Raw genomic sequence first — 12,678 nt, 5'->3', positions numbered from 1 at the left:
ATGTCCCTACAAAGGACATGAACTCATCATTTTTTATGGCTGCATAGTATTCCATGGTGTATATGTGCCACATTTTCTTAATCCAGTCTATCATTGTTGGACATTTGGGTTGGTTCCAAGTCTTTGCTATTGTGAATAATGCCGCAATAAACATATGTGTGCATGTGTCTTTATAGCAGCATGATTTATAGTCCTTTGGGTATATACCCAGTAATGGGATGGCTGGGTCAAATGGTATTTCTAGTTCTAGATCCCTGAGGAATCGCCACACTGACTTCCAGAATGGTTGAACTAGCTTACAGTCCCAACAGTGTAAAAGTGTTCCTATTTCTCCACATCCTCTCCAGCACCTGTTGTTTCCTGACTTTTGAATGATTGCCATTCTAACTGGTGTGATATGGTATCTCATTGTGATTTTGATTTGCATTTCTCTGATGGCCAGTGATGGTGAGCATTTTTTCATGTGTTTTTTGGCTGCATAAATGTCTTCTTTTGAGAAGTGTCTGTTCATGTCCTTTGCCCACTTTTTGATGGGGTTGTTTGTTTTTTTCTTGTAAAGTTGTTTGAGTTCATTGTAGATTCTGGATATTAGCCCTTTGTCAGATGAGTAGGTTGCGAAAATTTTCTCCCATTTTGTGGGTTGCCTGTTGACTCTGATGGTAGTTTCTTTTGCTGTGCAGGAGCTCTTTAGTTTAATTAGATCCCATTTGTCAATTTTGGCTTTTGTTGCCATTGCTTTTGGCGTTTTAGACATGAAGTCCTTGCCCACGCCTATGTCCTGAATGGTAATGCCTAGGTTTTCTTCTAGGGTTTTTATGGTTTTAGTTCTAACATTTAAGTCTTTAATCCATCTTGAATTAATTTTTGTATAAGGTGTAAGGAAGGGATCCAGTTTCAGCTTTCTACATATAGCTAGCCAATTTTCCCAGCACCATTTATTAAATAGGGAATCCTTTCCCCATTGCTTGTTTTTCTCAGGTTTGTCAAAGATCAGATAGTTGTAGATATGCGGTGTTATTTCTAAGGGCTCTGTTCTGTTCCATTGATCCATATATCTGTTTTGGTACCAGTACCATGCTGTTTTGGTTACTGTAGCCTTGTAGTATAGTTTGAAGTCAGGTAGTGTGATGCCTCCAACTTTGTTCTTTTGGCTTAGGATTGACTTGGTGATGCGGGCTCTTTTTTGGTTCCATATGAACTTTAAAGTAGTTTTTTCCAATTCTGTGAAGAAAGGCATTGGTAGCTTGATGGGGATGGCATTGAATCTATAAATTACCTTGAGCAGTATGGCCATTTTCACGATATTGATTCTTCCTACCCATGAGCATGGAATGTTCTTCCATTTGTTTGTATCCTCTTTTATTTCCTTGAGCAGTGGTTTGTAGTTCTCCTTGAAGAGGTCCTTCACATCCCTTGTAAGTTGGATTCCTAGGTATTTTATTCTCTTTGAAGCAATTGTGAATGGGAGTTCACTCATGATTTGGCTCTCTGTTTGTCTGCTGTTGGCATATAAGAATGCTTGTGATTTTTGTACATTGATTTTATATCCTGAGACTTTGCTGAAGTTTCTTATCAGCTTAAGGGGATTTTGGGCTGAGACAATTGGGTTTTCTAGATATACAATCATGTCATCTGCAAACAGGGACAATTTGACTTCCTCTCTTCCTAATTGAATACCCTTTATTTCTTTCTCCTGCCTAATTGCCCTGGCCAGAACTTCCAACACTATGTTGAATAGGAGTGGTGAGAGAGGGCATCCCTGTCTTGTGCCAGTTTTCAAAGGGAATGCTTCCAGTTTTTGCCCATTCAGTATGATATTGGCTGTGGGTTTGTCATAGATAGCCATTATTATTTTGAAATACGTCCCATCAATACCTAATTTATTGAGAGTTTTTAGCATGAAGGTTGTTGAATTTTGTCAAAGGCCTTTTCTGCATCTATTGAGATAATCATGTGGTTTTTGTCTTTGGTTCTGTTTATATGCTGGATTACATTTATTGATTTGCGTATATTGAACCAGCCTTGCATCCCAGAGATGAAGCCCACTTGATCATGGTGGATAAGCTTTTTGATGTGCTGCTGGATTCGGTTTGCCAGTATTTTATTGAGGATTTTTGCATGAATGTTCATCAAGGATATTGGTCTAAAATTCTCTTTTTTGGTTGTGTCTCTGCCCGGCTTTGGTATCAGGATGATGCTGGCCTCATAAAATGAGTTAGGGAGGATTCCCTCTTTTTATATTTATTGGAATAGTTTCAGAAGGAATGGTACCAGTTCCTCCTTGTACCTCTGGTAGAATTCGGCTGTGAATCCATCTGGTCCTGGACTCTTTTTGGTTGGTAAGCTATTGATTATTGCCACAATTTCACATCCTGTTATTAGTCTATTCAGATATTCAACTTCTTCCTGGTTTAGTCTTGGGAGAGTGTATGTGTCGAGGAATTTATCCATTTCTTCTAGATTTTCTAGTTTATTTGCATAGAGGTGTTTGTAGTATTCTCTGATGGTAGTTTGTGTTTCTGTGGGATCAGTGGTATATCCCCTTTATCATTTTTTATTGCATCAATTTGATTCTTCTCTCTTTTTTTCTTTATTAGTCTTGCTAGCGGTCTATCAATTTTGTTGATCCTTTCAAAAAACCAGCTCCTGGATTCAGTAATTTTTTGAAAGGTTTTTTGTGTCTCTATTTCCTTCAGTTCTGCTCTGATTTTAGTTTTTTCTTGCCTTCTGCTAGCTTTTGAATGTGTTTGCTCTTGCTTTTCTAGTTCTTTTAATTGTGATGTTAGGGTGTCAATTTTGGATCTTTCCTGCTTTCTCTTGTGGGCATGTAGTGCTATAAATTTCCCTCTACACACTGCTTTGAATGTGTCCCAGAGATTCTTGTGTGTTGTGTCTTTGTTCTCGTTGGTTTCAAAGAACATCTTTATTTCTACCTTCATTTCGTTATGTACCCAGTAGTCACTCAGGAGCAGGTTGTACAGTTTCCAAGTAGTTGAGCGGTTTTGAGTGAGATTCTTAATCCTGAGTTCTAGTTTGATTGCACTGTGGTCTGAGAGATAGTTTGTTATAATTTCTGTTCTTTTACATTTGCTGAGGAGAGCTTTACTTCCAACTATGTGGTCAATTTTGGAATAGGTGTGGTGTGGTGCTGAAAAAAATGTATATTCTGTTGATTTGGGGTGGAGAGTTCTGTGGATGTCTATTAGGTCCGCTTGGTGCAGAGCTGAGTTCAATTCCTGGGTATCCTTGTTGACTTTCTGTCTTGTTGATCTGTCTAATGTTGACAGTGGGGTGTTAAAGTCTCCCATTATTAATGTGTGGGAGTCTAAGTCTCTTTGTAGGTCACTCAGGACTTGCTTTATGAATCTGGGTGCTCCTGTATTGGGTGCATATATATTTAGGATAGTCATCTCTTCTTGTTGAATTGATCCTTTTACCATTATGTAATGGCCTTCTTTGTCTCTTTTGATCTTTGTTGGTTTATAGTCTGTTTTATCAGAGACTAGGATTGCAACCCCTGCCTTTTTTTGTTTTCCATTTGCTTGGTAGATCTTCCTCCATCCCTTTATTTTGAGCCTATGTGTGTCTCTGCACGTGAGATGGGTTTCCTGAATACAGCACACTGTCGGGTCTTGACTCTTTATCCAATTTGCCAGTCTGTGTCTTTTAATTGGAGCATTTAGTCCATTTACATTTAAAGTTAATATTGTTATGTGTGAATTTGATCCTGTCATTATGATGTTAGCTGGTTATTTTGCTCATTAGTTGATGCAGTTTCTTCCTAGTCTCAATGGTCTTTACATTTTGGCATGATTTTGCAGCGGCTGGTACCGGTTGTTCCTTTCCATGTTTAGCACTTCCTTCAGGAGCTCTTTTAGGGCAGGCCTGGTGGTGACAAAATCTCTCAGCATTTGCTTATCTGTAAAGTATTTTATTTCTCCTTCACTTATGAAGCTTAGTTTGGCTGGATATGAAATTCTGGGTTGAAAATTCTTTTCTTTAAGAATGTTGAATATTGGCCCCCACTCTCTTCTGGCTTGTAGAGTTTCTGCCGAGAGATCAGCTGTTAGTCTGATGGGCTTCCCTTTGAGGGTAACCCGACCTTTCTCTCTGGCTGCCCTTAACATTTTTTCCTTCATTTCAACTTTGGTGAATCTGACAATTATGTGTCTTGGAGTTGCTCTTCTTGAGGAGTATGTTTGTGGCGTTCTCTGTATTTCCTGAATCTGAATGTTGGCCTGCCTTGATAGATTGGGGAAGTTCTCCTGGATAATATCCTGCAGAGTGTTTTCCAACTTGGTTCCATTCTCCCCGTCACTTTCAGGTACTAATCAGACGTAGATTTGGTCTTTTCACATAGTCCCATATTTCTTGGAGGCCTTGCTCATTTCTTTTTATTCTTTTTTCTCTAAACTTCCCTTCTCGCTTCATTTCATTCATTTCATCTTCCATCACTGATACCCTTTCTTCCAGTTGATCGCATTGGCTCCTGAGGCTTCTGCATTCTTCACGTAGTTCTCGAGCCTTGGTTTTCAGCTCCATCAGCTCCTTTAAGCACTTCTCTGTATTATTTATTCTAGTTATACATTCTTCTAAATTTTTTTCAAAGTTTTCAACTTCTTTGCCTTTGGTTTGAATGTCCTCCCGTAGCTCGGAGTAATTTGATCATCTGAAGCCTTCTTCTCTCAGCTTGTCAAAGTCATTCTCCATCCAGCTTTGTTCCGTTACTGGTGAGGAACTGCGTTCCTTTGGAGGAGGAGAGGTGCTCTGCTTTTTAGAGTTTCCAGTTTTTCTGCTCTGTTTTTTCCCCATCTTTGTGGTTTTCTCTACTTTTGGTCTTTGATGATGGTGATGTACAGATGGGTTTTTGGTGTGGATGTCCTTTCTGTTTGTTAGTTTTCCTTCTAACAGACAGGACCCTCAGCTGTAGGTCTGTTGGAGTACCCGGCTGTGTGAGGTGTCAGTCTGCCCCTGCTGGGGGGTGCCTCCCAGTTAGGCTGCTCGGGGCACAGGGGTCAGGGACCCACTTGAGGAGGCAGTCTGCCCATTCTCAGATCTCCAGCTGTGTGCTGGGAGACCACTGCTCTCTTCAAAGCTGTCAGACAGGGACACTTAAGTCTGCAGTGGTTACTGCTTTTTGTTTGTCTGTGCCCTGCCCCCCAGAGGTGGAGCCTACAGAGGCAGGCAGGCCTCCTTGAGCTGAGGTGGGCTCCACCCAGTTCGAGCTTCCAGGCTGCTTTGTTTACCTAAGCAAGCCTGGGCAATGGCGGGCGCCCCTCCCCCAGCCTCGCTGCCGCCTTGCAGTTTGATCTCAGACTGCTGTGCTAGCAATCAGCGAGACTCCGTGGGCGTAGGACCCTCGGAGCCGGGTGCCGGACACAATCTCCTGGTGCGCTGTTTTTTAAGCCCTTTGGTAAAGCGCAGTATTTGGGTGGGAGTGACTCGATCTTCCAGGTGCTGTCTGTCATCCCTTTCTTTGACTAGGAAAGGGAACTCCCTGACCCCCTGCGCTTCCGAATGAGGCAATGCCTCGCCCTGCTTCGGCTGGCGCATGGTGCGCACACCCACTGACCTGCGCCCACTGTCTGGCACTCCCTGGTGAGATGAACCCGGTACCTCAGATGGAAATGCAGAAATCACCCATCTTCTGCGTCGCTCACGCTGGGAGCTGTAGACCGGAGCTGTTCCTATTTGGCCATCTTGGCTCCTCTCCCATATACCCATTTTTATAACAATAGTAACTTGATAATATATATGTAAAATAAATTTGAAAAAATAAGACGCCATATGGTTAACTGTGCTTGTCTCTCTGGGCTACTGTTACCAAGGACTCTCATCTAGTTCTATTGTGTTTGAATATCACAACATGCATGTATTATATATTTTTGAAAAGATAGGAACAAAAAGTAAAATTCATTGTCAATTTGGGAAAAAACGTAGGACAAACCATGCTCACTTTTTTCAAAATGTGTTTTGTAACTTTCACTGATTTGCTTCTCATGAGTCTCTACTTTCTAACTTGCTTCTTTGTGACTCTTAATTCACCACCGTAATAATCCTCTCAATCATCTCATAAAGATAAATAATGTTTGCCATTTGATATCCGTTCATTAAATATCTGCTAATGTCTTGACAGATGAAGACATAAAGAAATTAACTGTCAGAATTATGCTTTATGATAATCAAACTTTAGCCCTGATCTTTTAGGATACATGGTATCTATAAGTCACATCTTAATAGTAGCACTCCTGCACACTCCTCTTTATTTCAGAAAAATAATGAGGTATGTAAACACTTGTAAAGGACAAGATCATTTCCAAAGTAGTTAGCTCTTACAACTTATCCATCACAGGGAATCTCTCATTTTGTAGCAGAGATTTTGACACCCATGAATGTGAAGCCTGCACCACCCTCAAAGGAGGAAGAAGTTAAATGTCTCCTCCTTAGGAAGTGAAGCTCATAATTTTCTCCTTGAATATAGGCCTTAGGCAAGTTCTTTCAGACCCTGCATTTCCTTTAAGGAAACAGTGAAAGGCCAACAAATTGGCAATCCCAAAATTAAAATTAGTGCTCTCACAAGTAGACCCTGTCCTCCCATTGTTCCAAATAGTTCAGTGTAACAGCTAAATAGCAGTTTTAGCATCTACATCATGTTATTTAGGGTTCAACCGTAATTCCCTTCCTAATTTCAATTACCATAATAATTCTCTGGTAGAATAACTTTCTAAAAGTCAAAAATCAAAGCAGTTTCTACTGAGAGCTCCCAGGTCTGGCTAATTGCACAAATCAACATTGACCTCACTGGTCTATCTGGTTTTATATGTACTCACAGTCTTGTGTGGCTCTTTTCCGATTCCAAATAAAGGAATGAATCATATCTGGGATCTGGCGAGTAATCAACAATGACAAAGTTATTTTGTGGAAGGTTCTCTCCCTCTTCTTCAAAATGAAACCCAAGTGGTTACTGAAGAGGAAATAAAGTCTTGCAGTTCTTGTATCTTCCAGTATATTTTGATAAGGAATGACAAGAGTCTACATAGTTTACATTTTTTGGTATGCACAGAATATTCTTTATTTTAGAGCACAGGTATCTTTTCCTAACTTCTGTCCGGCTGCCAAGTGATCACATTCACGTCTTTGTGTTTTGTGTAGTCTCTCCGCCTCTAGAGCAAGTGGTATTTTATTTTATGAAAAGATAATCCTAGCAGCCTTTCACTTAAACAACGGCATACATCCTAGTTTTAACTTAAAGGACACTTTTTAGGAAACGCCCTCATGATCTGAATGCTTTGTTGGCTTGGAGCACCGTTAGGATCTTCCTTGAGCAACTCCTGTCAGAGACTGTACCAAGAGTGGTCTCTAATCACTAACCTGGATAATTTTGACCTTCTTTGTTTTATGACGCTATATTTCAATTTTGGGTCAGACAGAAAGATGCCACTTGAAGTAACTCCATCCACGAATCAGTTGGAGCACACGATAGCATTATTTCTGAATCTGGCAACAAAAGGGGTGATGAAGCCAGCTGTAGGCTGATTCAGGCAGCAGAGAACATCTGGGAGTATGTGCGTTCATTATAATACTGGGTGGAATAACATGGCATCCTGGTGGTCAGATTATACATCATGAGATCTGTAAAGTCTGGAGGAGAAATGTGATGTGTCTCTTACCTATGAAGATGGTCATAAGACACCTCTCCATTATCTCCATGAGGTTGTGGAATGTCACAGATTGAATTGTGTCCCCCAAAATTTGTATGTTGACAAATTGTTCAGGTTAAGAATGCCAGGAACTAGATTAGTTGTTGCTTTACTGAAGAGGAAATAAGTCTTAGTAAGGATCACGTTCTTAACCTGATCCTAGTGTGTATTTGCAGATAGAGCTTTTGAAGAGTGATAAAACTTAAATGAGGTCATAAGGGTGGGAACTTAATCCAATATGAGAACAGGGAGAGATGGCACAGATGCACGTGCACAAAGCAAAGGCTATGTGAGGGCACAGGGGGAAGACAGTCACCTGCAAGCCATAAGGAGAGACTGCAGGAGAAACCAATCCTGAGAAAAACCTAGATCTTAGATGTTCAGCCTCCAGAACTGTAAAGAAATTAATTTTGGTTGTTTTTGTCACCCAGCCTGTAACATTGAGTTACGGTAGCCCTAGCTGAGTAATACATGAACCAAAGCTATTTCCTTAGTTGGCAAGGACCACTTCCAATAGCAAAGTGCAGGAGGAGTGTGCCATCCAGACATTTAAAATGGTAGTGGTCACAGGAGGTATCTGAAAACACCTTGTGTCATACCATATCTCCATATCTACAATGGGGAAAGAAGAAAACTTGCAGTTCATTACAAGATTTCTTGGGGCAAATGTTGAAAATACTTAAAGTAGAACAAGATGTTACAGAACGATGTTTGTTCCCATATGTGATTCATAATTATTCAAAATGTATGTTGCTAAGTCTCTATATTACTGTAAGGGCACAGCTAATGGGACTCTCTAGAATATTAGCAGTTACTTTGTATATCACAAGTTTTTGTTAGTGTGTTACAGACTAGGAATAACACTGAAATAAATGCCATAATCTGGCAATAAAGCCCGAGGGAAGTAAACCTATCTTTGACACACTGCGTTTTAAAAAACTAAGTTAGTGTAGCAAATTTAAGCAAAGGCAGGGATAAAGCCCCCCTTCTGTGAATTGCAGTGTGTTATTACTAGAAAACCTAGATTCTGGGTGTAGACCTGACCCAGAGATTTCCCTTCAGTAAACCAGGCTTGCATGATAACATCCGTACAATTATTATACTTTTACTGCACTGACGGCTCTTTCCATATTTTTATGATAAAACAATGTAGTAGGCCAGGCGTGGTGGCTCACACCTGTAATCCTAGCACTTTGGGAGGCCGAGGCAGGTGGATCACCTGAGTTCAGGAGTTCGAGACCAGCCTGACCAACATGGTGAAACCCCCATCTCTACTAAAAATACAAAAACTAGCCAGTAGTGGTGGTGCACGCCTGTAATCCCAGCTACTCAGGAGGCTGAGGCAGGAGAATCTCTTGAACCCAGGAGGCGGAGGTTGCAATGAGCCAAGGTCACTCCACTACTGCACCCCAGCCTGGGCAACAGAGTGAGACTCTGTCTCAAAAAAAAAAAAAAAAGACAGAAAAACAAAACAAACAAACAAAAAACCAATATTGTTTGGAGCCAGTATTTTTATCAGTTCTTATTGCTTAAAAGTGCCCTGCATGACAAATCACTGAAAGCAACAACTAATCTAGTTCCTGGCGTTCTTAACCTGAACAATTTTTAATTTTATCATTATTATTATTATTATTTTTACAATCAGTTATAAGCACATGCAGAATGTGATCAAGAACTAGTTGATTCTGTCTATGGCTTTTACTTAGTCGTGGCTTAAATGCTAACTTGGTTCCATCTTTTAAGAGAGACCCACAATATTTTCCATCATTATTCTCATGCAGAAAACAAGTTTTAAGCACCTTCTGCTCTCCATTGTCCTTCAGAAAAGACATTGCTTTGAAGGGACTTCCACAGCAGTTTTTTTCTAGAACAAGTGAGCATCGAAAGGATGAGAGGTAAAGAACAGGGCACAATACTTCTCATAAAGAGCCACTTCTGCAAAACAACTGTGATCAACAAGCGGTTTCTGAGCTCCTGTATCCAATGGATGTTTCTGTGTTGAGGCCATCTGGTAAAAACCCAGAGAGTCTACAGACTCAGTGCTGGGAGTGTTGACTGGTGGAATCCCAGGCTCTTTGTTGGGTGGCTCTGGATCTAACCCCTACTATTTGCAAGTGTCCTATACATATATGTAATGGTAATAACACTTTATATCTTTATGTATCTTATTGTTTTCATTATTTCCCACCTCCAGGGGTTTTCATCTGTCTATTGGGACTGACCTTAAGCTACATATCCCAGAGTTTTGTCTGGTCTTCTAATTGACTTCAACTTCTTTTTTTTCTAGTAAAAAAAAAATTAGAGGCAGGATTTCACTATGTTACCCAGGCTGGTCTTGAGCTCCTGGCCTCAAGCAGTCCCCCTGTCTCAGTGTCCCAAAGTGTTGAGATTACAGGTATGAGCCACCATTCCCATCTAAGTCCGCTTAAATCTGCAGAGACTTACCCTGAGTTCTCACTCTTCAGATCTTTTATTACTCTCAGGAAAGGTGAAACATTAAATTCCCAAGACTGCCATACTGATGTAAGCCTTAAAACCAGGCCACAGAGTGATACTTTTTTGTCCAATATAATATTGAGGCAGTGGGAATTATCAGACATCTTAAAATCAGACTTCACTCACCATGAACATACCAATTCTGGTTGTCTACAGATGGTTATTAAGAATTTTTAAGTTTTAAAAAAATCTAAGTTAATATTACTCATTCAAGGGGGTCTGATCTCTAAAAATAATTTTAAAATCCTGTGTTTTGAATTCAATGACAAACTAAAATTAAGAGAAGCTTATCTGGGTATTCTGAATGTTTATGGCTGAACAATACCTTAGGATTTTAGTGCTTCCAACTATTTCATTGGAACCAAAAAATGCCATGTTACTGTCATGTGCTAGTTAGAAAAGGAAGAAAAGATAATTTAGAAATAATGGCTTTGCACTAAGTAAACACCAAATCACATAGTTAGGTATCACTTCAAATTGAATCTTCAAAAGCCCACAGAGGTGGGGCATGTAAGCTCTCTGTCTTGTGAGAGGTAACATCATTTCCTCAAATATCATCTGTCACATAATCCGTTAATTTTGATTTTTAAAATCATTTCTGTAATTTTGTTTAAATTTATTTATAAATCTGTTTTGATTTATAGTTGTGTCAGAACTGTGAGAAAACAGAGATTGCAACTAATTTCTTTTTATATCTGTACACTTTGGCATTATAATAAATATTGTAGTTAATATTAATAGTTGGTGAAACTAAGTCTAATAGGGAGACCAGAGATTAAGTTTTTACAATTGATAATAGAAGTCACAGGAAATACTCCCTTCAGTGAAAGTATTTAACACATTCTTCTCATCTTCTGGAAGTGATGGATGACAGTACCAGAACTTCAAGAAGCAGAGGTAATTCTGTGAAAAACAATCAATTAGCGGGGTCAAATTATGCCATCAATCACTTATATATAGATAGCTCCATTAACATTTATAATCTGATAAAAGTTTTGGCTCTCCAGCTAGTCCCCATAAATTATATCTGCAACACCCCAAATTTGTATAGTGTTCAGCCTCAATTTAAAGCAATTTGAAATTAAATTGGCAAGGGTGTGGTGGGTGAAAATTGAACAGCAAAGCAGTATGGACCCCAGGGTAAAGTTAAATTTGAGGCCGGGCGCGGTGGCTCACGCCTGGAATCCCAGCACTTTGGGAGCTTGAGGCGGACAGATCACGAATTCAGGAGATCAAGACCATCCTGGCTAACATGGTGAAACCCCATCTCTACTAAAAATACAATAACAACAACAAAAAATTAGCCACGCGTGGTGGCGGACACCTGTAGTCCCAGTTATTTGGGAGGCTGAAGCAGGAGAATGGCCTGAACCTGGGAGGTGGAGCTTGCAGTGAGCTGAGATCGTGCCACTGCACTCCAGCCTGGGCGACAGAGCAAGACTCCGTCTCAAAAAAAAAAAAAAAAATATATATATATATATATATATATATTTGAACCAGAGCCTGTTTATCTACCGTCTAGCCCTATTGACGTCTAAAAGCTTGCCAATCACACTTTGGGTTTTGGTTTTGTTTTTAAGAAATGAAACACTTCAGATACTGTCAAAGGCAGCACTGTACCCTAATGACTATTGTGATTCTGGTGCATCTCTTTTCCATTCCTTTTCTTACGATATTAAATTATATGTGTATTCGTGTATAATACATAGCTTTGTTTTACAGATTTTCAAAATTTACGTAAATGGTATTATATTGTATAACTGTGTTGTTGATTATGGCTACAACAATGCTATCTAGCAAACTACCCCAAAACTAGGTGATTCACAATAAGCATTTTTTCCCAAACTCATGAGGTTGCAAGTCAGCTAAAGTTTGGTTAATCAGATGGGCTCAGACAGGTAGCTGTGCAGAGTAGGCTGTGGGTCTTCTGGGTGTGGCTGTGTTCATGTCTGTTCCATATGTGTTTGTTCTGGGTTTGGGATGAAGAGGTAGAGGCTACCTGGGCCTTGCTCATCTCACAGAAGATCACCTGAATATAAGAGGATAGGAAGAAAGACGCCATGTCTCTGAGGTCTCCCTTGAAACTGACACATGGTCACTTCTGCCCACTTTTCACGAACCAAAGCCAATGATACAGCTAAACCTAGTTTCAGCGGGGCAAGGATATGTAATCCACAATTCTAGAGGAAGTTACTACAAAGCCACATGGCAAAAAGAACAGGGCATACAAAAAAAGTTAAAAAATAATTCAATATATCATAATATCATTTTGCAACTTGATTTTTCCCAAACACTAGATTTAGAAGGCCATCTATTTCAATACATGTTTTTCTTCATGTGTCCTTAATTGCTATATGGAATTCCATGGTATTAACACAGCAGTCATCCTTCAGGTCTTAGTTCAGACGTATCCTCAGGAAAGACCTTTCTGATAACTTTCCTGACAACTTCCCCTAACACACTCTTACTCTGTATAAGTCAG

General features: G+C 39.9%; 1 long non-coding RNA gene across 2 annotated transcripts in view; it reads left to right on the top strand.

Moving 5' to 3' along the window:
• The window catches only part of LOC105379051 (uncharacterized), a 62,349-nt gene that overhangs the window by 37,559 nt on the left and 12,112 nt on the right, over positions 1 to 12,678 (top strand). The gene's annotated exons all lie outside the window — the stretch shown is intronic.

Source organism: Homo sapiens, chromosome 5 (genome assembly GCF_000001405.40).
Source record: "Homo sapiens chromosome 5, GRCh38.p14 Primary Assembly".
NCBI lineage: Eukaryota > Metazoa > Chordata > Mammalia > Primates > Hominidae > Homo > Homo sapiens.
Note: the sequence above shows the minus strand (reverse complement) of the source record. Positions and strands in the feature narration are given on the sequence as shown.